The 25,567-nt window shown below is 34.1% G+C and overlaps 1 long non-coding RNA gene across 1 annotated transcript in view, besides 1 other annotated feature; it reads left to right on the forward strand.

The window, feature by feature from the left end:
* Positions 1-2,454: 2,454 nt before the first annotated feature.
* LOC105373790 (uncharacterized) overlaps positions 2,455-25,567 on the forward strand; it is a 104,710-nt gene continuing 81,597 nt past the window's right edge. The window contains exons 1-2 of the long non-coding RNA XR_923685.3: positions 2,455-2,502; positions 13,981-14,043. This is a non-coding gene — a long non-coding RNA (uncharacterized LOC105373790). The remainder of the gene's footprint in view (positions 2,503-13,980; positions 14,044-25,567) is intronic.
* Positions 21,378-21,878: an enhancer, noted in NCBI's record as "H3K27ac hESC enhancer chr2:189538838-189539338 (GRCh37/hg19 assembly coordinates)". NCBI's record gives its function as "activates a minimal SCP1, AML or CMV promoter by ChIP-STARR-seq in primed H9 embryonic stem cells {active_cell/tissue: H9 hESC(primed)}" and the evidence as "EXISTENCE:reporter gene assay evidence [ECO:0000049][PMID:30033119]".

Consider the following 25,567-nt stretch of genomic DNA (forward strand, 5'->3'; position numbering starts at 1 on the left):
AAAGAGGAGAAAAACATCCATGCAAACACATTTTAAACCTTGTTCACATCACGTCACTAATATCTCATTTGTCAAAGTAAGTCACAAGACCACACCCAAATTCCAGAGAATAGAACTATACTGTGCCCACCATGAGAGAATTACCAAGAGATAGATTTATAGTACTACTACAGAGAAGGGAAAAATTAGGTCTAATAATTCAAACTATCAGAGAGAGATAAAGATAAAACTTCACTCAGCAATGTATCCCTAATTATATTAAAATATCATATTTTCTTTCATATTGTGTCTTTTTTTTCTGGAACAGCAGAAACCAAAGTCTAGTCAAAACAAGGAGAAAAATGATGGAATAAATAAAGGCATTTCAGGGAAAATATAGTTTAGCCAAAGTACAAGATCAAAAATATAGATTCCGCCATGCATTTTAGGTTTTTTACTTTATTTTATTTTTCTTCTTTAACTTTTATTTTAGGTTCAGGGGTACATGTGCATGTTTGTTACATGAGTAAATTGCATATCACTGGCATTTGGAGTACAAATTACTTTGTACTACCTGTACATAACTACTACCTGTACACGGGTAGTGAGCATAATACCTGACAGGTAGTTTTTCCATCCCCACTTCTTCCCACCCCCAACCCTTAAGTAGGCCCTGGTGTCTACTCTTCCCCTCTTGTGTCCATGTATACTCATGTTTAGCTCTCCCTTACAAGTGAGAACATGAGGTATTTGGTTTTCTGTTCCTGCATTAATTTGCTTAGGATAATGAACTCCAGCTGCATCTGTGTTGCTGCAGATTGAAGAACATGGTTTTGTTCTTATTTATGGCTACATAATAGTCCACGGTGTATATGTACCACATTTTCTTCATTCAGTCCACCATCGATGGGTATCTAGATTGATTCTATGTCTTTGCTATTATGAATAGTGCTGTGATGAACTTATATGTGTCTTTTCTGGTAGAATGATTTATATTCTTTTGTGTATATACCCAGGAACAGGATTGCTAGGTCTAATGGTAGTTTTGTTTTAAGGTCTTTGAGAAATCTCCAAAACTGATTTCCACAGTGTCTGAACTAATTTACATTCCCACTAGCAGTGTATAAGCGTTCCCTTTTCTCTGCAACCTCTCCAATATCTATTATTTTTTGACATTTAATAATAGTCATTCTGATTAGTGCAAGATGGTATCTCTTTAGGGTTTTGATTTTCATTTCTATGATGATTAGTGATGTTGAACATTATTTTCATGTGCTTTTTGGCCACCTGTATGTCTTCTTTGGAGAAGTGTTTATGTCCTTTACCTATTTTCTAATGAGGTTGTTTTCTTTTTGCTTGTTGAATTAAGTTCCTCATAGATTCTGGATATTAGAACTTTGTCAGATGCATAGTTTGCAAATATTTCTTCCCATTCTGCTTTTCATAGAATTAGAAAAAAAAACTATTTTAAAGTTCGTAGGGAACCAAAAGAGAGTCCAAATAGCCCAAGCAATCCTAAGCAAAAAGAAGAAAACTGGAGGCATCACACTTCCTGACTTCAAACTACACTACAAGGCTACAGTAACAAGGACAGCTTGGTACTGGTACAAAGACTGACACATAGAGCAATGGACTAGGTTAAGAATCCAGAAATAAAGCTTCACACAAACAACCATCTGATCTTTGACAAAGTTGACAATAACAAGCAATGGGAAAAAGACTCCCAATTCAATAAATAATGTTGGGATAACTGGTTGGCCAGTTCAATATGTGGAAGATTGAAACTGGACCCCTTCATTTCACCATATACAAAAATCAACTCAAGATATAGTAATGACTTAAATATAAGCCCTAAAACTCAAAAAACTCTAGAAGAAAATACCATTCTGGACATAGGTCTTGGCAAGATTTCATGATGAAGTCTCCAATAGCAATCGCTACGAAAACAAAACCAGACAACTGAGGCTTAATTAAACTAAAGAGCTTCTGCATAGCAAAAGAAACTATGAACAGAGTAAACGTTTGAGTTGTCTTGGCTCTTATGGAGCTTCCTTCTCTTTCCTTTCTGTATTAGTAATATTTGGAAATGGATGTCGTCTAATCTTTTCCTCTCTCCAAAACAAGGTAAGCCCTGAGGCTCTAACTTATCCTGAAGAACAGGAAGTGGGCTGCTTTCAAGGAGCCATTCAAGGAAAAAATTACTTTATGGCTAAGGGTCTTGGAAGCAAGAGTTGCTCTAAGCATTAGGTCTGAGGGTGCAGATGTAGAGTAATAACTAGATTTGAAGTTTGGGGTTCATAATGAGAAACAGGTAAGAGTGAGCCAGCATTTCAATGGGTAAAGCTGCAAGATATTTTTTATAGATGCAAAAGAGGTAGAGATTATTTTACTGAATGCCTACAGCTGAATCTGTGCGTTGAGGAGGTTGATCTTTACAATTCCAAGTCTGCTTGATACATTTGCCTCTTTTATTGCAGGTTCCTTTGTTTCTAAAGCATTAACAGGAACTGGGGACTGAAAGTGGTAAGCTTCCTAGTTAGCACTGTTAAACTTTCTGTTTCATGGAGAAGAGGTACCTGTGAGGACTTTATTCTGATTTTTAATTCAAAGCCAAGGTTTCAGTGCAAGGATGATAGCCAAGATTAAAGAATATTCTTGTGGTTGAAGTTGCCATTATGTTATATATCTCAGAAATTGTAGCAGAGCAGTTACTGAGGGGCACACATTGGCTTGGTTGTATAAAATCTTTAGATCCAGTTGGTACTTACAATTCACTTTTGCATTCTAAGATTGTAGAGATATGAAGATTCAAAACAACACTAATGAGACATAAACTCTAACAATATGACCACTTCTGTAATATCTTTCAGTGTCTATGAAAGCATTCTCAGTTGATGTGCTGTTTCTCTCCCTTCAGTATTCTAATTTACATAAGCTTGCTGCTCTCTCCAATTCTTCTATTTGTATGAGGCAATATTCTCTTATGTTATCTTAAAATGTGATCTTTCTTTTGCACTTCCTTCGCTGTATATTATCCTGTTTACTGCCTTTTTAAACTAAAAGATATCATGACACTTATTAACAAAAAATAAGCTTTACACATTTGTTAGAAATTGAAGGGATACATATGAAGAATATCAGTGCAACAGTATGCCAAATTATATTGCTTGAAAATCACTGTGAATCACTAAAAGATAAGACTACAGATACTTATTTAAGAAAACAATTTATTTCTAACATCTTGCAATAGATCATATTTACCCAGGAAGTACTGATCAAAAAACAATCAACCCTTTCTTCCATGAGAATCTAAACAATTATGGTCCCTTAGAAAGTACAAAAGCCTGAGTTTGGGAATGTAGGCGGCTATAGGTTTTCTAGAAATATTTAAATAGAATCTAAGGCATACTATGGGCCTAGAAACCCAATGCATTCTTTGGCTTTGGTGAGTAAAACTTGATATGGGTAACTTTGCTAAAGAGTTCACAGTCCTAGTTCATTTTGGACTAAGATGGCATATAAGTCATTAAATCAATGAGACTATTTAAAGTGCTTTAAAAATAAAATACCCTAAATATAGCTTAGGCATTACCTTGCCTCAAAGGAAGTTCCTCCATATCATTAATAGAAAAAAGGTTCATACTTAGGCCGTGAGGCAATTTCACACTCACCGCAAACTTCCAGTCAGGATGATAAACTACATTTTGGTCTATAGCAGCATAGACAAATGGCCAGAGTCCTTCCTTAGATCTTCAAAGTGAACAACACGAACACTGACAAGCTCAGGGACAGTATGAAGGTACTCTCTGTTCCTGGTCTTGTTGGCGAAAAGAGGAGTCAAGGCCTTTGATAATGTAAAAAATAATATGGTATAAGAAACTGTGATATCAGCACAGAAAGTCCTGATGATCAGAAGGTTCTACTTGTTCCTTCCTTTCCTGTGATGTAAAAGCCATGACAAATCAATTGTGTCAATATTTGAAAAGTTGCCACATTTGGATAGCAGTCTCATTCAATTAACATCTTAGATTAGTCTTCTGTGATTTGGTAGTATTTTCAGGTGTTATTAGTGAACAGATCACTAATTTTTATGCCAGAGAAATCATAGTTATTTTGGATACGGGATTTTTCATGGCTTTAGACTTATAAACTTCACACCTTTTAATAGGACAAAGAGATATATGTGGCAGATTTCACTCTGAGAATTGTTTAACTGACAATCTTAATAATTTGAGGTATAAGCTCTTGTAAGTATATTATTGAAAACACCTTATTAAAACAACAATAACAACAACAGCAAATTGTTAGGCAGGAGGACAGATGCAGATGTAGAAATCTTTAAGTGGTATTAATCTTACCAATTTTGAAATTATATGAATTGCATAAATATTTCAAATAAAAATCAGTCCATCACAACACCAGCATGTTAGATCAACTACTTCCTTAAATGGAAATCAAAAGCAAACATCAGGAAGAGTTTTTCAATACTGCTTTAAATTTGGCCATCATAACTTTACCACTTTTAAAACTTTTATAATTGTTATTCCTATTTTGTGGAAAGAAAATATGTGGTTAAGAAGGGTTACAGTGTTTAAATAACAAGGTCACTATGTGACAAAGCTGGGAGGTGAATGTAGATCTGTGTGATTCCAGAGTCTGGATGTTTCCTTATCCACCATTTCATACAGCATCCTCTGTGAAGTAATATATTTTCTCCTATATAGAAGAAAATTATGCACCTTTTACAATTGACTGAACTCATTATTCAGATTTCATAAAATTCATTTGTTTTATTAGCAGGAGCAGATAATAACTGAATAGTTGCATGCCAGACTTAAATGCATATTGCTTTTAGAAAATCATTTCATATGGCTTTTTGAAACGTTAATGAAAAAAGTACAATTTGTATATTTCTGAGATAATTGAACAAACTCTGTAAACCTGCTGTGTAGTTTTAGTTTTTATATTTCTAATTAAAAAGTAATCTCATTTTATATTTTCTCTGTTTAATGTTACTAAAAGTTTATGAAGTTGATCTTAAATGCACATGTTGGTATACAAAAATAAAATGTTTTGCGTATATTTATAATTAATGTATTTGGAAATCATTTGAGTTGTTTTAATCTAGTTTATGAAAATCATAATGATTTGAAGATGTTTTGAAAGGCAGATGCTAGGGATATGAAGTTATATTTTTATAGCAGAAGAATATTACAATAAGAAGATAATACATAATTTATGAAAATGTTTTCAGCTGTCATCAACACATAAAGATTAGAAAAAGTAGAATCTAAAGTTAATTACATTTTCTGTTTAGTTTGGATGGAAAGTAAATTGTCAATATGAAATTTAACTGTTTATCAAACTAACTGGGTAGGTATTTATCAATTAAAATATTGCCATTGTTGATTTTGTGATATGCCAAATTTTTCTAATATTTTAGGAGAAATTTAAAACTTCCAAACAATATTAATTTTGTTTTAAAATATATGATATACTTTAACCAAAATGACTTTATTCTAAAGATATTCTCCTCTAACAACATGGACCAGGACCTAAAAACTTGACCGATTAAGGTGTCAGCTGAAGGGATTTCAGAATCAAGATAATTATAGTGATAACAATGAAAATAATAGAAGATAGGAAAATATATATTCTAGGATTCATGGACTTTTTCAGTTCCTAAGGAAACCATGAATTTTTTTCTCGTTCCTAGGAAAACATAGATATACCATTGCTAAGAATTTATTTGTGCATGCTTTGAAGATCACAGGATTCTGTTAACAAACCAACCTAAAAAACTGTCCCCTTTGTTAGGAAAAGCATTTCCAGAATAATTTAATTTGTCTTTATGCTTGGAAAATGGAAAATAAGGGGAGGCATCAGTCATTGTACCCAAAATATTTTTCTTTTACTTTATAAAATTTATTTAGTTTCATTGTGCTTTTATTTCTTCAGGAATCTTCTTCCACTTCATTCATTCAGTGGTTGTGCTCCAAAAGTGTTTACAGATTTTTGTTTATCTTGTTATGTATTGCTTAAAATAAGGGCACATTGGAATTCTTAAAGTTGTAAGTAACAGAAATGGGCTTTATTTAGTCAGCTAAAAGTGAGTTTATACTAAGGATACAATAAAGAGCAAAGACGAACAGGAAATGATTACACTGTACAATCACTGATACTGATACAGTTCTTAACAAACTTAGCAGGAGAAAAGGAGAGAAAACACAAATAACCTCATAAACAATGAAAAAGGGAATACCATTACTGACCCTGCAGACACTGGAAAAGATACTACCACAAACAACTCCATGCACATAAATTTGACAATTTAGATGAAATAGACCAATCCCTTGAAGATACAAATTACCAATAGATAATCTGAACATTTATCAATCTCATACATGAAAATTATATATAAAAATTGTCTCCCTAAAAAAACACATTAGGTCCAGATGGCTTCGTGGGCTATTTATATCAAACAATTATGGATAAAAAAATATCAATTCTACAGAAATTATTTGAGAAAAGAGAGGAGGTTGGAATAATTCCCAACTCACTTTAGGATATATGCATTAGCCTGAAACCAAAACAAAACAGACATTACAAGAAATGAAAACTGCAGACAAATGCATCTTAAGAGGAGGATTTTTGTTTTCTAAAATGAGAGTAAAGTTACATAAAAACACTTAAACCTAAATAAAGTACTGGTAATCTAAATGTGTATATTTCACCTAAATTTAAATATCTTTATAGATATTTTTGTTAAAATGAAGGGCAGCAATTAATAATCTAAAACAGAAAATTATGAAGTTTTTTGAGAGTTTCTATTTCATTTTGCTCATTTTGGCACATGACACTAGATTTTTTCACTCATAGGAGACTAACCAATTAAAGTTGGATGCAGTATTTTAAGATTAATTTTGAAATTGAAATCCAAAATATTAATTCCTTAAAAAGTTTTAATACTTGAATGGTGTGGAGTGCAAGGTATGAGCATATGATAAGAAACTGAGATTAGGTAACTAGCTAAAGGAGAATGACAGTGAGATTAAGATGGAAGAGAACAGAAATTTTTTATAGTCTGAGTCATTGTATGCTTCATTGTAGTGTCCCCTGAAACTACTGTCCCATAGGATTTGCCCAGGGAGATGACTGGGTTAGAAGGAATTTCTGAGGGAGAAGGTTGAGTTAGAAGAAATTTTAATCTATTCAAGGGTCTGACTACAGTTGGGTCCAGTCTCCGTACATCAAGATTACCACATAGTCTTGCACTACATCTTGAATAGCCTCTTCTTGAGCCTGTCAAATATCAAACTTCTTAATACATTATTTCCCATTCTTTGTTCCTCATCTCACTGTACACCCCCATACCCAAATACCAGTGTATTACTAAAAAAGTAACTGAATTTTTTTAATTGCAGAAAATGATAATGCATATTGAAGATAGAATAAGGACTGCTCTTTGAAGAATTCAAACACATGCATATTTTAAATAACAAAATTGTTTACATTCCAGAATCCCTAGGCTTCCTTTCCTAATATACTTTGCTTGATGTTGCAAGTGCTTTAATGTTTGCAAGGAAAGGGGCCTTCATTTAAAGTTGACATGGATTCTTTCTTCTGGTTTTTTTTTATTATTATTATACTTTAAGTTTTAGTGTACATGTGCACAATGTGCAGGTTAGTTACATATGTATACATGTGCCATGCTGGTGTGCTGCACCCATTAACTCGTCATTTACGTTAGGTATATCTCCTAATGCTATCCCTCCCGCCTCCCCCCACCCCACAACAGGCCCCAGAGTGTGATGTTCCCCTTCCTGTGTCCATGTGTTCTCATTGTTCAATTCCCACCTATGAGTGAGAACATGTGGTGTTTAGTTTTTTGTCCTTGCGATAGTTTACTGAGAATGATGATTTCCAGTTTCATCCATGTCCCTACAAAGGACATGAACTCATCATTTTTTATGGCTGCATAGTATTCCATGGTGTATATGTGCCACATTTTCTTAATCCAGTCTATCATTGTTGGACATTTGGGTTGGTTCCAAGTCTTTGCTATTGTGAATAGTGCCGCAATAAACATACATGTGCATATGTCTTTATAGCAGCATGATTTACAGTCCTTTGGGTATATACCCAGTCATGGGATGGCTGGGTCAAATGGTAGTTCTAGTTCTAAATCCCTGAGGAATCGCCACACTGACTTCCACGGTGGTTGAACTAGTTTACAGTCCCACCAACAGTGTAAAAGTGTTCCTATTTCTCCACATCCTCTCCAGCACCTGTTGTTTCCTGACTTTTTAATGATTGCCATTCTAACTGGTGTGAGATGGTATCTCATTGTGGTTTTGATTTGCATTTCTCTGATGGCCAGTGATGGTGAGCATTTTTTCATGTGTTTTTTGGCTGCATAAATGTCTTCTTTTGAGAAGTGTCTGTTCATGTCCTTCACCCACTTTTTGATGGGTTGGTTTGTTTTTTTCTTGTAAATTTTTTTTGTTTCTAAAGCAGATTCTTTATTACGATAACTTGCACAGAGTGTGACAGTATAAGAATCTTATTAAGATAATGAAGATTTTTGATGTATAAATAAAATATGTTTCAAAATTTGCAGAAGCAGTGCTTAGAAGTTAAATTCTCTCACTATTGGTATCTTGGTAGAAATTGTGCATAATCTTAATATTTCCACATATACTGATCTCCATTTTAGAGATTGGCTTTAATAGTTAATAATAATTGATAAATCCAGCTTCTGGAACCTCATCTGGACAAAGATCACTGTTATACTTTGGGAAAATGAAGGAATGACTCACAATTTAACTTTAGGAGTAAGAAGTTTTGGGAATAGGCTCCATTTTCCTGCTCCCATCTACAAATTTTATAAACAAAGTAAGGAGAATGAATTCTAGGAACGATGAACATTCTCTGCCACATCATTAATCGTTCTTCATCCTACTTTCCTAAATATTATTGACAAATATTACTTGCTGATGTTAGTTCACAATTAATTATCTTTGACATTATAGGCTTATATCCATTTACAAATTCATGTACTGTCATTAATCTTATGATTTCATGAGAGAACAGATATTCATGCTTTAAAGCTTTCATTAGAAAATCTCTATGAAATTCAATAAACATAAATTCTTAAATAAACAGTAGACCATATGGTCAGTCGTTGTCAACAATGTAGTTAGAAAATTTTTGGTGTAATACCTATAAAATAAAATTTACTATTTTAACCATTTTAAAATGTACAATTGCGTGGCATTTAGGACATTAACAGCATTATGCAACACTATCTAGTTCCAGAGCATTTTTCATCACCCCAAAAGAAAATTCAATACCTATTTAGCAGTCATCCCACATTCTGTCTAATCCCTAGCCCTCGACAGCCATTATTCTGTTTTCTGTCTCTAGCACTTGTCTATTTTGGGTATTGCATATAAATGGAATCATTCTATACATGTCGTTTTGTGTCCGCCTTCTTTCACTTAGCATGTTTTCAAGGTTTATCTATGTTGCAACGTGGATCAGTACTTCATTCCTTTTTATGGTTAAATGATATTCCATGTAACCATTCCAAAATGGATATACCACATTTCGTTTATGCATTGATGGACAATTGAGTTGTTCTTATCTTTTGACTATTATAAATAGTGCTGCTGTGAACATTCTTATATAAGTTTTTGTTGAACACTTCTTTTAAATTCATTTGGATATATACTTAGGAGGGAAATTGCTGTCACATGGTAATTCTATGTTTAACTTATTGAAGAACTAATAAGCTGTTTTTCACAGTGGCTTCACCATTTTACATTCTCATCAGCAGATATGAGGGTTCTGGTTTCTCCACATTTTTACATTTTCCAGTTTTTCAATTCTAGCCATCCTAGTGATTGTGAATGTGGTATCTTGTTGTGATTTTGATTTGAAAAATACATTTTAAACAATATATTGATATATATGGAGAGAAAAAAGTTATAAAATGTATCTTATCAAGCTCAAATTTCTTTTATTGCACATAAAATTTGACTACAGGTAAATTAGACATGAGTCTATGGAGGAAATAGTTTTGTTTAAAAATATGGCAAATTTAGAAAAGAATGTGGTGATTGGAACCAAATTCAATCCTATGCATAAACTATATATGCATTTTTCTCTGGTGGTTACCTACTGTTGCAATCCTATTCATAAACTGTGTATACATTATTCTCTGGTGATTACCTACTATTGAAGTAAAATTCTCTTGTGAATTCCTAATGAGAAATCTAATTTATAAAGATAAAAATATGTGAGAAAACATTTGAATTCCCAAAATTTGATGCCAAGTACTTTTCCTTCTTTTCAGCATACTAATGAAGTGATCAGATAGAATTTTTAAAGTACATTTCTGCTTTTTCCTGTTGTGTTTTACCAATAAATTCTAATATTCGAAAAACTCAAATAGTTGACATTCTTTTCCTGAGTGATCTAAGACTTATCTTACTTAAATGGGGGTCATTTAAGTAAGATAAGCTTCAATCTCAGGTCATATCTACATTGAAAAGGTGAAACTATCAAATATGCAAACTTCCCTTCATTTGACTATATAGCTTAAACTTCACACTGTGGCACTAGTAGGTCCCAAGGAGCTTTTCTTGAAATGTCTGTATTGATGCATTTAGAGAGATTCTGTGGGTCTTTACTGTCAGTATATTTCCTGTCTGCGACATCTTGCTAGTAAACAGCATGAGTAAAATGAGCAGCTGTACAGATGGCTTCAACAGTTTCAGAAAGAATATATATTAATGTGAGGTCAAGTTTTGCTCTGCTTGATAAATGTGGAAACAAGTAAATGATACATCAAATAGTTCTAGAGATGCTTTTTATTTGACAACACATCTGGAGCCCATAAATATAATTTCGTATTTTTGTTCTGCTGGGAAGAAGATACCATTAAAGATGCTCTGAGACCTAGTTATTCAACATGAGATGGGTGTAATCACACCATTTTCTAATATACTTTTGCCTAAGTAGTACATTCCTTGTGTGAAATGATGGGAAATATAAAAGAAATAAATGTTGACTTATCTTTGGTTTTATAACTGAGTACTTAAAAAAATAAAAATAAGCAGAGATAAGTAATACATTTCACAAAGAATAAGCAACTAAAAGTAAAAGGAAAATAGCTGATGAGGCTTTATTAAAATGAAAAAGATGAAAAATATGAGTATATAAAAATTATGTCACAGGCACAAATATAAATTACTTATTATATTATATGTATTTATGTGTTTATATATTTTGATGCTTATTTAATTTAATTATGTGAAAAACATAACTGAGAAATCATGTGTCCCTTTGTCATTGAACTTCACATAAATGATTCAGTGAATATTTTTTCGGTGTCTTTTTCATGTAACAGGGTATTTGCTTTAAATTGCTTTCTAAATAAATGATAATATAAAACTAAAACCTTTTGGGAGACAATGACCTTAAGCAGGACATACTACGTGAAGATTTCACCTAATATTAGAGAATGAACAATTTAACAGGTGGGCCTGCTGTTTACCTGTTACCCGTCAGTGACTCACAGGATGAAGTCTGGGACACTCTCCCATTATGCATGTGCCTGTATTTACCGTCCATGGCATCCCTTCTATTGACCTCTTCGTTTATGCCAATATAATGCGCAGTCATTTTACTTTTGGTCTCTTTCAAACACATGGAACTTGAATATTTTTAAAAAATGATTTTATTATTTAATTAGGTGTCAACTTGATATGTGTGCATGTCTACAACACAGTAACTAAATGCAGCTGCCTCTTTGGGAATTATGACATCTTGTTGTTGTTAGGAGCCAAGGGGAGTGGCTGCAAAGTAACTGGGTGGCTTAAGGGGAAGAACATAGAGCATTTCTTCTGAAAACAGGAGAAAGATACGCCAAAATCCTTGGTCAGTTCTCACTGTGTGAGCCAATTTGCCACATCACGTATCCCCACTTCACAGGGGCCATGTAAAAATGAGTAATAATGATAAAGGAAATTGATTCCCTGAAGAAGTTGAATGAGTCTCCATATTTTTCTATATTGTTTATCAAAATGGCAAAGCTGAAACATTTATTTTCAAGGACAATATCAACTATAAAGGAAACATTCTTTACTATAAACTTGTGACTGTAATTAGGTATGAAATGTAAGCTAGATAGTCTCTTCTTGTTTTTATTACTGTCTCTGGGGGAGATGATATCCCACATGGATAGATTTTCCAAGTAACCAAAACATGCTCTATTAAACACAAAAGGTTTTCATCTATTTTAAATGTCTTGCATCTTGGATATCTTTCTGAAATGCATTGTTCCAAGTTGACTTAAACAGATAATATAGGCGGTAATAAAATATGTTTTTCTAAATTGTTTTTAACCATATTCAGCAGTATAGTAGCAATCATAAAAGTTATCCTTGACTAAGGTTTAGTTTATGCCAGGGATTCTGCTAAACATTTTATGTGGATTATATTTCTTAAATCTTAAAATTAGTCTAAAGGGTAGAGAAGAGCTTGCTTGCCTAAGGTAATATTATTGGGAGAGGAAGTGGAATGTGAACCAGGTCAATTTAAATGTGCCTGACTCCAGAGACTGTTTTGTTGACCATGAAAGGTTGCATTTTTTTAAAAAAATGTAGTTTTACTTTTTTTTCTTTCCCTGGTTGTGAGTCAGTCTCTCTCTCTCCTGCAGCTATTGTGTCTGGAGCTCTGTCATCCTCATCGTCTTCTTGTAGTTTTGCTTTTTCAAATCTGTAGCAAGGACAAATATGCAAGTGTCTTAAAGGGGTTGTTATGGATATCATTTGGAGTCCGAAATTATAAATCTTTAGCTTTCTCTATCACATAGAGAAATGTATTTATCTTAATATTTGTTTCACAACAGTGCTTAGAAGTCTAAAACTGGTTGGATATTATTGTACAGAAACTATTTTTTCATTTCTGTTATTAAGTTTAATAATCCAATAATTTTATGAGGAAGCTTTTCTCCTTTGGAAAACTAGAATTCAACAAGACATAACACTTATTCACTATATATTTTTCATTTCTATTATAAGCTAAGTTGCTGAGTAGGAAAGAAAAAAGACATCTTTTCCTACACAGAGCTTAAAGTCTAGAGGGTAGAAGGATAATCATGATTTTGTATTTATGTCAAGTTTACTTATAAATAAATAGAGGATACATTTCTGTCTACCCATTATATCAAATAGTTTCTTCCCTCCCTTCCTTTCCTTCCTTCCCTTCCTTCCCTTTCCTTCCTTCCCTTCCTTCCCTTTCCTTCCTTCCTTCCTTCTTTCCTCCCTTCCCTCATTCCCCCTTCCCTCCTTCCCTCCCTCCCTCCTTCCTTCCCTCCCTCCCTTCCTTCCTTCCTTCTTTCCTCCCTTCCCTCATTCCTCCCTTCCTTCATTCCTCCCTTCCCTCCTTCCCTCCCTTCCCTCCTTCCCTCCCTCCCTCCCTCTCTCTCTCCTTCCTTCCTTCCTTCCTCCCTCCCTCCCTCCCTTCCTCCCTTCAATATGGAAAAGTTATTAACAGAGATTTGTTTAACAAATTCTAGATAGTAAATAAAAACCCAGTCACACATTACAAGTTTGAGATAATTTATTAATTTTATACATAACTATATATATATAGTCACTATATATGTAGTGATGCCTTCTCTGCGGATCCCTCTAGTTTTGTAATGCTCCCTCAAATTTATATATATATATATTTAAATATATATATGTAAATTCTACATAGCAGAGGTGTTAAGTTCTGTTCTAGCAAGCAGTTAACTTCCTAGATGATGATCTTGATCCAATGCTGGCTTGGTTTTAGACTTTGTTGGGCTGGTCTGTTCCAGGTTTGCCCTTACCTATTGGGCATGGCATTTACTCCTTGGGCATTGTTCTGGGAGTAAGGATGTGCTCTTTAGTGCCTCAACTGAATGCCTAGGATATTCACCTAAATTCTTCTCTCTTCTTGCTCCAGTCTCCCAGGTGTCTCCTCAGCATTGAACAATCTCTGAAGTCACTGCCTCCCAGCACTGCTCAGGTTGGTCCTCAGAATTACACCTTGTGAATTTGCAATTTAGGAGGTGACTAAGAAGCAGAAGTAAATTTTTATGCAGATTTTGTGACTCCTTCTCTGTGGGTTCCTCTACTTTTGTAATGCTCCCCCAAGTTTCAGCTGCCTTGGCAGCCTCAGATATTGATCTCTATTTATCCCTCCTAGGAAAATGCTGCTCTTTGCTTGGCTCTCTTTCTCTGGCTTGTAATTTTCAAAATTACAAGGGCATCCTATAACACTGGAATCCATAAACTTCGGTTAAAAATTTTTATTTTAAAATCAAGATTGTCTATTGGTGTAAAACTAAAACAACTAAAACCAGAAAGTTGAGAATATGCAACAATGCATGTGACATAAACAGTTAGGTTTTAAGTATGACATTTCATTAATATTTTTTCATGTTCCACCACAATTAGAAAATATGACAGGCTGGATTTGCCCATTGTAAGTATGAGCATACACCATGTTATTTGTGGTGAACTAAAGTAAAAAATTAAGATATTAAATTTTTATAAAACATAAAAAATGGGAAAACAGTTGAAATATTTCAACTCATGAATAATTTATCAGTTCTCTGTTGAGAGTATTTTCTTAAATATATTCAAAATTATTGACACACTGAGAGGATGGTTTGTATAATTTGATTCCAGCCTGCTTCTTTCTATCATGTCCCTTTCACTGATAATCTGAGTCAAAGTGTTGGTTTCCTGACATTTAGAGTGTTTTGGGGGGTATGAGTAAATATTAGAATGATTTAGATGATAAATTAGAGCACCACTCCATGTAGGGAATAATTTTAAAATAATTTTAACTTACTAGATTGGATAACTTATGTTCACAATATCCTACATAAATATAAACAAACATGCTAATTGATATTTGATATTTTTCACTATATAATTTATATAACACAGATAAATATTATCCTTCATGTTCTAATACCAATGTTCATGGAACCAATTTCAGTCAGATTGAACATAAGTTTTTGACAATGGAGACACTGCTTTGCCTTTCTCCTTTTGGTTTTATTCATCTCAGAAACAGCAGGGATTTTATAGCTCAGTAAGTGTGCAGCAGATCTTAGTTCTGGTTAGAAAAGTGTTGGAGACTGTAGTTGTGAGTTGAGAAACATTATTTTCAATGTGTTCTACTAAATACATTTAATAATACAGTTTTTAGACAGGTTACAAGGTAAAGACATTGGATTCTCTGAATTTTTAGTTTAAAAGAGCATGTAGATAAAGTGAATTAAAGGGCTATATTATGCACACAGTCTTATTAAGTCACCGAATTTTTAAGTACATTTAAAGGAACCAACAGCAAACACTTGCAAGATGCAAAATATTGCAGCTAAGACTCAGAATGGAAAGTATTACAGCATACAGAGCAGAACTAGATTTCAAAGGACTGGAGGCATGCCAAAGCTCCTTTGAAAATGCTCAAGTACCACATACCTAGGGCTCCCACTTGCAACAGACTCATAAGAAAAAAAAATAAATAACATAAAAACGAAGGCTGTGTGCATACCACATGTAGTGAAAAGCTGCCCCACCAAAGCAAAACTGGAGAAAAGAGCATCACAGCATTATTCTTCATTTTGGAAGCAACCAGTAAAAGAAGAGGAAGCACAATTGTACCTGTTTCCTAAAAAATCTGCAATGCCATAAGACTCTGACTCATCTTGGTTAGAGCCTAGTTTAGCAAGTTTTTTGGAAGTTTCTATGATTGTTCATTTTTGTCATTGCCAAAGGTTAATCTTTGACTATCCTCCAGATTATTCCAGAAGCCTGTTTTGAAGTTAATATAAAAATCAACCCTTACTGGCAAAACTTTTCCAACATGACAAATGTAAACTTTTTTTGAAGGCAGACGCCACGATCTTCCTGGTTCCCAGTGCATTCCTCAACCATAACCCCTACAGATAGTGAGCACTCAGTAAACGTTGCTACTAATATTAATTCTGTTGCATATGTAAATTTTACCATCATATAAGAAAGACAAGTCATCTGTTTAATGCTGTGATCATAGTACTTCATCTAACTAAAATGTCAGTTAATTTTTGCTGCATAGGAAAAATCCCAAAACATAGGAGATTAAAACAACACTTACTTACTAATGGTTCTGTAAGTTATCAATTTCAGCCAGGCTGCCCAGTGTGCTGACCTGGGCAAGGCCTAGCCCATTTTGACTAAGATTTCTCATAGGTCTGTAGTCAGTTGACAAGTTAGCTAAGGGCTGGCTGATCAAAAATGAGTAGATATTACAGAGTATGGTTTGGGAGGGCAATAATTTGTGGCACTTATTTTGCTGCTGATCACAAATATATTTTTTAAAATCATAGATTTAACTAATAGTTTTCATTGTGCTATTTCAGTAAACACAATAGCCCGTTTTGGGACTTGTGGGTGATACCTACACATGTTCAACTTGGCTAATTCTCTGATTCAGGGAGTGGCATCTACAGCCCACACTCCAAATTGAGCCTACTCTGTTTTGTTTTTGTTTTTGTTTTGTAAATAAGGTTTTAATGAAAATAAACACATTTGTAGCATAGTTTGAAGTCAGGTAGCATGATGCCTCCAGCTTTGTTCTTTTGGCTTAGGATTGACTTGGCAATGCAGGCTCTTTTTCGGTTCCATATGAACTTTAAAGTAGTTTTTTCCAATTCTGTGAAGAAAGTCATTGGTAGCTTGATGGGGATGGCATTGAATCTATAAATTACTTTGGGCAGTATGGCCATTTTCATGATATTGATTATTCCTATCCATGAGCATGGAATGTTCTTCCATTTGTTTGTATTCTCTTTTATTTCGTTGAGCAGTGGTTTGTAGTTCTCCTTAAAGAGGTCCTTCACATCCCTTGTAAGTTGGATTCCTAGGTATTTTATTCTCTTTGAAGCAACTGTGAATGGGAGTTAACTCATGATTTGGCTCTCTGTTTGTCTGTTATTGGTGTATAAGAATCCTTGTGATTTTTGCGCATTGATTTTGTATCCTGAGACTTTGCTGAAGTTGCTTATCAGCTTAAGGAGATTTTGGGCTGAGACCATGGAGTTTTCTAGATATACAATCATGTCATCTGTAAACAGGGACAATTTGACTTCCTCTTTTCCTAACTGAATACCCTTTATTTCTTTCTCCTGCCTGATTGCCCTGGCCAGACTCAGTAACCAAAACAGCATGGTACTGGTACCAAAACAGAGATATAGACCGATGGAACAGAACAGAGCCTTCAGAAATAATACTACACATCTACAACCATCTGATCTTTGATAAACCTGACAAAAACAAGAAATGGGGAAAGGACTCCCTATTTAACAAATGGTGCTGGGAAAACTGGCTAGGCATATGTAGAAAGCTGAAACTGGATCCCTTCCTTATACCTTATACAAAAATCAATTCAAGATGGATTAAAGACTTAAATGTAAGACCTAAAACCATAAAAACCCTAGAAGAAAACCTAGGCGTTACCATTCAGGACATAGGCATGGGCAAGGACTTCAGGTCTAAAACACCAAAAGCAATGGCAACAAAAGCCAAAATTGACAAATGGGATCTAATTAAACTAAAGAGCTTCTGCATAGCAAAAGAAACTACCATCAAAGTGAAAAGGTAACCTACAGAATGGGAGAAAATTTTTGCAATCTATTCATCTGACAAAGGGCTAATATCCAGAATCTACAAAGAACTCAAACAAATTTACAAGAAAAAAACAACCCCATCAACAAGTGGGTGAAGGATATGAACAGACACTTCTCAAAAGAAGACATTTATGCAGCCAACAGACACATGAAAAAATGCTCATCATCACTGCCCATCAGAGAAATGCAAATCAAAACCACAATGAGATACCATCTCACATCAGTTAGAATGGCAATCATTAAAAAGTCAGGAAACAACAGGTGCTGGAGAGAATGTGGAGAAATAGGAACACTTTTACACTGTTGGTGGGACTGTAAACTAGTTCAACCATTGTGGAAGACAGTGTGGCGATTCCTCAAGGATCTAGAACTAGAAATACCATTTGACCCAGCAATCCCATTACTGGGTATATACCCAAAGGATTATAAATCATGCTGCTATAAAGACACATGCACACGTATGTTTATTGCGGCACTATTCACAATAGCAAAGACTTGGAACCAACCCAAATGTCCAACAATGATAGACCAGATTAAGAAAATGTGGCACATATATACCATGGAATACTATTCAGCCATAAAAAATGATGAGTTCATGCCCTTTGTAGAGACATGGATGAAGCTGGAAACCATCATTCTCAGCAAACTATCGCAAGGACAAAAAACCAAACACCTCATGTTCTCAATCATAGGTGGGAATGGAACAATGAGAACACCTGGACACAGGGCAGGGAACATCACACACCAGGGCCTGTTGTGGGGTGGGGGGAGTGGGGAGGGATAGCATTAGGAGATATACCTAATGTAAATGACAAGTTAATGGGTGCAGCACACCAACATGGCACATGTATACATATGTAACAAACCTGCACGTTGTGCACATGTACCCTAGAACTTAAAGTATAATAAAAATATATATATAAAGAAAATAAACACATTTATTTATTTATTTATTGTTTCTTACTATTTTCATGCTCCAATGGCAGAATTCCATAGTTATGATAGAGAACATGTTTCACAAAGGCCAAATATCTACTATGTGGTCCCTATCTACTCTGATTTTTTCCTGAATAAAGATCAATATGGGCATATATTTTCAGAGCTTTCAATATTTTATTATTATAAATAACAATATAATAATGATAGAGTACTTCCTTTGTGCTGGGTACTATTCTAATATCATTTATTTCAACTAATTTAATCTTCATGAATGCCTTATGATGTACAGTTATCATCACTTTATAAATGAAGAAACTGAGGCACAGAAAAGTTAAACGTCTTCTCTTATTGAACTCAGAATAGGATTAAATTCATTTTCCATGGCTTGTAAGTCATAGTTTATCTTCCCCATGAGTTTCTATTTCATGTAAGAACAACCATTTTTAACAGTCTCAGCCATACTAACTTTCCTTCAATTTCTTAAAAATGCTGAGCTCTTAACTTCTTTATGATCTTTACATATGAAATTTACTTTTTATGGAGTAATTTCCATACCATTATATCTGGCTTCTTATTGCTTAAATCACAGCTCAAATGTCAGTTTCTTAAAGTAGTCTTGCCAAACAATACTTCCAAAGAAAACTTTTCACCCATCTTGTTATTCTCTCAAAACATATTATTATTTTCTATCACAGCACTTATCAAACTTGCAATTTAACATTTGTTTGTACAACTGTTTATCATCTGTCTTTCTCAATATAACTTTATGAGGGCAGAAATCATGCCCACTTTATCCACCACTTCTTACAAAATCCCTGGCACATCGCAGGTGTTTAATAAATGTTCACTGAATAATGAAGAAATATGCATTATGGGAATTGAAAAATTATCATTTACATGTTAAAAAATTATAAGTTTAAAAAATTTTTTAAGTTCAAGGTGCATGTACAGGATGTGCAGGTTTGTTGCATAGGAAACTTGTGTTATGGGAGTTTGTTGTACAGATTATTTCACCACCCAGGTATTAAGCTTAGTAGCCATTGGTTATTTTTCCTGATCCTCTCCCTCCTCCTACCTTCCACCCTCCAATAGGCCCATTGTGTGTTGTTCCCCTCTATGTGTCCATGTGTTCTCATCATTTAGCTCCCACTTATAAGTGAGAACATGCTGTATTTTCCTGAGTTAGTTTGCTAAGGATAATAGCCTCCAGCTCCATCCATGTCCCTGCAAAGAACATAATCTCATTCTTTCTTATGGCTGCATAGTATTCCAAGGTGAATATGTACCACATTTTCAGTACTTTTTTATTATGTTTAGATGTCTCACATTTATGAAAGGCTACTTTTAAACATATGTGTGTGTGTGTATATATATATATACATATATATATATTTGTATTTAGTTGTTCCTTAAATAGTCTTTTCTGAGCATAAAGTCACCTCCCTCTCCCATATTATCTTCAACTACCCATCCTTCCAGTTATTTATAGAGATACATATTGGATTTGTTGATATGGAGAAACAGACAGTATGTCTCCTTAAGCAACTCTACTAGAGTTATGCCATTTTTAAGTGCTTTACTGTGTCATTTTTTTACATGTATTAGACTTTAACATTCCATCTTGATGGTTACTATCTTTTCCTTTTACAAATATCAATGCCCTTAATTTCTATGTAATACATTTACATTTACAAGAATTTCCTTACAATTTATACCCAGAAATACTATCTATCAAAAGAGTATATACAATTTAAAATGGTAGATATTGTCAAATACCCTTCTAAAAGATGACACAAATTTTTACTTTCTTCAAAAGTGAATGTGAATATTTTTTCCCTACAGTTTGAGACTGCCAGACATTGTAAAGTTATTTTATATGTGATTTCAATGTATTTATCTTGTTATTAAATGTTCACATTGAACACATTTTTATACCTTTATTGATTTTTGTGATTTTTTTTTCCTTTGGTGAATTGCCTGTTCTTTTCTGAGCGCATTCCTATGTTTAATTATATTTTTTGGTCTCCATTTGTGAGAAAAATTGATTTATATATGAATAAATAAATAAAATTTTTGTCTTTTTCACATGGTGGACATATTCCTGCCAGTCTGCAATTTTTTTTCACTTAGTTTATGAAGTATATTACCAATAAGAAATATATACGTGGTCAAAGCTGTCAATCATTTTCTTCTGGTTTCAGTTAAATTAGAATATGTGTGTTTGTGTGTATGTACATATGTACATTTACATATTTTAGAATTTTTAAACATTTAATTATTTAATATCCCAACCCTGCATGAAGCAAAGATTCTTAACTTTGCATGCAATCTAGCCAATTCACATGAGTTCATCTCATGTCTTGTGAAACTTTTTAAATGTAGCCAACGGTACCACAGCAGGTATACAACACTCAATTTCCCTATATGCCAGAGACACAAACTGAGTCAATAATTTATCTGCTTCCAAAATTATAGCTGATGCAGTTTTTAAAAATGTTTGGCCACAGCATCCCGTCACTGTCCTTCTAACTTCTAGTAGCAGTTTTTCACCATCTAGTACATGGACATGAGGCTAGTGCTGCCTGCTTAAGGTTTTCTGATATAGTAGTACTCATCTTGTCTATCAGTCAGGACACATAAAATTATATAATCTCTCTAAAGATTGTGGTGTAAAGATGTTTATTTTCTCACACTGCATATGTCCATTAGGAGTAAGTCCATGCAAGAATAATGATAAATCTGTTATTAGATCCTAGAACATTATACAGTAGCAAAATATTTTGTAAAACAGTAATAGCCTGTAGTTTTCACTCCAGGAATTAGGGTGAAAAAATAGCCTCTCTCTGGAACATAGCAAGCCTCATGACACAGGGACAAAAGAAAAATGAACTTGAAGCTTCTGTTCAGGAGTGGCACACATCGCTTCCACAAACAATTAATTGGCTAAAGCAAATCACCTGAAGCTCTTGTGTTTAAAGGGCAGATGCTCTGCCAGGGGGGAGAAGAAATACTCATGAAAGTAATAAAAGATTACTTTTGCCTTTCTCCTTCATTGACTCTATTTTTCAGACAGACATGAGCAGGGCAGGAGATGGTGAACCTGCAAGCAGGAATGTCAGGCGACCATCAGGTGATGTTCAGGCGGTTGTTAACTGTCTCTCTAAAATAATAGTTGGTTGCAGCCAGCACGAGGGAAAGGCAGTCTCCCCGTAGATAGAAAATACCTAAAAAAATTGGTGATCAACAGCTTGCCTGTAAGATCTCAGGAGTTGCATGAGTGAGCTCGAGCATGCACACTAAGAGGCAAAACGGTGAAGTTTAACTGGTATATGACCTCCTAGGGACATTTGGCTGGTAAGGGAAGAATACCTCAAGTGAACATGCCTGCAACTCCAGTAAACGCACCTTGCACTCTCCTCCCAAGTGCTATCAGGCCACTGCACATGCAGATAGCCCACTACAAGCAAAGAATCAGGGGAGAAAAGAGGCAGACCTTGGAAGTATGCCAACGTATGAAACCCCAAGTCAAAAGGTCAAATGCACACTTGGCTTTCTCAAGTAGCCCACCTGTCCCTCTTCCAACTATAATTTCCTTCCTTTTATTTCTGCTCTAAAGCTTTTTAATAAACTTTCACTCCTGCTCTAAAATTTGCTTTAATTTCTGCCTTATGCACTTCAGTCAAATTCTTTCTTCTGAGGAGGTAAGAATTGAGGTACTGTAGACCCATATAGATTCGCCGCCGGTAACGTTTTGGTGCGGTGTGACTGGGATAATTTCCACTCCTAATATATTCTGTCTGTGGAATTCTTGGTTTTAACTTTCTGAGTGTTTTGGCTGTATGTCCTAGGATATTGCTCTGAATTTATCTTCCATATGATTAATTTAGTCTTCAACAGTGTTTATTCTGTTATTTTATTTTTAATCAAGCTTAAATATTATAATTAATTCTGAAGTGGGTACTTAGTTTTTTTTATTTTTTAGTTTGTATTTTAGCTTGTTGTTTTTTAGTTTGTCTCTGATTCACACCAGTCTGCTAAATTTGAAGGTAAAATCTGTGCAGATGCATAGAGCATATTGATAAGAAAGATTCAATAGAAATACAAGGTGAAGGATGCAGACAATGCATTTGACTTTCTCAACTGTTAAAACAGGAGAAACTTGCTCTGGAAAGAGACTACTTTCATGATTTTTTTTTCCTTCCTGGCATCTTCAGATAAGACATTCTCCAAATTTTTGTGGATTCCCCCAAACTCTAATTAACAAAAGAATGGAAAAAAGAAAAAGAACCTTCTTAAGAAATAAGTAAGTATGAAGCATGAAGTTCTCTGTATTTTAGCTTGGAAAACTCAACCCAACAATATTTGGATGAGAATATTAAAGCTCCCTCTCTCCTTTACTTATACTATACAATTAAATGACTAGGCAAAGACCCTTAGTCATTCTCCCAGAGCAACATAATAATTTATGGGGCCAGATGAAAAATCTGAGTCACTCTCATTGTTGGGATAGATAATTCTACCAGCAACTGAGCCCAGTAATTTAGATGTATAGTGGTAAATAAATGATGGCTTTTTAACTCTTGTTGACTAAGAATCATTTATGTATTTATTTCTCTCTCTTAATGCTTAGTACTTAAACATTATGTTACTGTACTTTCAGCAATGGCCTTGTGAGTAAACAATTATCAGTGGGGGGTGAAATTGTGGAAAGGGGAAGTAAAAAATGTTAAGGATGCAATTTCTTAGTGAAAAATGAATGTGCAGATATGTAAAAATATCTTGGTGTGTGACCATGGTTTTGTCTCACATGGGTTACTTCTGTAGCTCTGACTCAGACTCATGTGCTTCTCAAAATCCATTTTCAAAGGAGATTATCCCATGTTTTACTGTTATATATCAGATTACTTTCTCTAACAGTGGTCTGTTCCAGCATTCACTGGCTCCACCCTCCTGGGAAGTTATGTTTCTATTTTTTCAAACAATTCTGCTCTTCTATAATGTTACGATACTTTTGTCTGTTTCTTTAGTACTGTATACCCATATCCCTAGATCATAGCAGGCATTTAATATATTTCATTGAATAAATTAAAAATGCATAAATTGGGCACCTAATTGTACATCTGGTGATAAATATCTCCCTAAATGTGCACTGTTCAGAGGAGTCAAATCATAATTAAAACCACTTTAGGATGAGCGGCCAATCTGTTTGATGGCGAAGCCATTCTGTCATGCCATTTTAATTATAATGATTCTCGTCAAAATGTTCTAGAAATTTGATTCCAAGATTTTGGTAGATTAATGTCTTGTTGACATTTTAGGAATTGGCGTTCACTTTTCCTGAATTCATTTTTACCTTGAACTTGATGTGGTATTTGTCATATTTTATGTTTCAGGTATTTGCTACCATTGCTTATAATCATCAAGTAACCAAACCTTAACTAGCATTGTAATGTTATGAGGTTTGTGCCGTGAATGGTCATTAAATTAATATTTTTCATCATAGAAATTGTCATTTATAGAGGATTTGACAATCGTCCAAATTAGTCTTAAACTCTTTCCACCTATCTAACTTGCAAGGATTCCATTTACTAAATAAAAAATAGAGCAGCTAAACCAAAGGCACATTTTTATTTTCATTTATTTTTTCAATTTCCACTTAAATGGTTCATGACTTTTTTAGTTAGAAAAACATAAAACATTCAAAATTATCTTGATTATTTGCTTTATTAGCCCACAAAGAGAGAAGAAAATAAATAAATGCAAGCAGGTGTTATACACAGATGTGCATTGCTAAAGCTAATAATATGCCATTCTTTCTTAATAGAATTCTCCCAGTACATTTTTTTGCCTGAATCATACACCATTGAAGTTCAAACCCAAGAATTAAAAAAGAAAACTCAGTCATAATTCAATATATAATGAAATATTTTCTCTATTCACTTTTTTCATGTGTTCAAACATAAAATAGATGTAGTGGACCTATCAGGAATGCATTGGCCCTTAGTCATAAGGTTTTATGGGAAGAGTCAGAATAATATATGATTAGTGAGTATTAAAGAAAGAAGGGAAGAACACACTTGATTTGAATTTTATAATCTAGCAACACAAAGATGCAGAATACACAATGGCAAAGATTATTGTCCCTGAAGTCAGACCCATCTGGCTTCAAACCCCGGCTCAACCATTTAGTAAGAGTGAGATTGGGCAAGTCACTTAAGCTCTCTGTGCTCTAGTTAACTACTCTGTGAAATGAAGATAATAATATCACTTAAGTCATGGGTGATTGTGAGAATTAAATGAGTTAATACGTGTTGCTCAGAAGAGTGATTAGAACAGAGGAAGAAGTGTTAAAATTACTTTTGTCATTACCACCTGAGAGAATGTAGTATGGTATTAGTGAAAAGGTAGTGATAGGCAAGTTCTGTTAAATGTTTCAAAAGTGAACCCTAGGAATTATGTGTACTTTTTCATGGCAAAGATACCCATTAGTTGGACTGTGTTAAATGCATAATTCAAAATTCTTCTAATGTTTAGTGGAAAGCATGGCTAAAAACATAATTAAGCAAACACTCTAGTGACATTGTTGATTGCCTATCTATTTATCCCTTTACAATTGAAAAACAATTTTCTTTCAGATATTCAACGCTCACCTAGGTTGGTATCCATTTTGTTTGAAAGGGAGCATATTGTTGAAGGGGGTTTTATTTGGTCTGAAGGAGAAGGTAGAACATGAAGGAGGAGAGAGTGAAGAGAATAAGTGACATAGAGCCAGAGTCCTTAGTGAATGACAGAAGATCATTGCCTTAGCTGTAGACTCTCTCAGTTATGTGATGTAAGATAATCCTTTTGTCATTAAAACCTGTTATCTATTTCATGATTGCTGCAACTAAAAGTTTCATAACAATGTACACACACATTTACACCTTCTGT

Source organism: Homo sapiens, chromosome 2 (genome assembly GCF_000001405.40).
Source record: "Homo sapiens chromosome 2, GRCh38.p14 Primary Assembly".
NCBI lineage: Eukaryota > Metazoa > Chordata > Mammalia > Primates > Hominidae > Homo > Homo sapiens.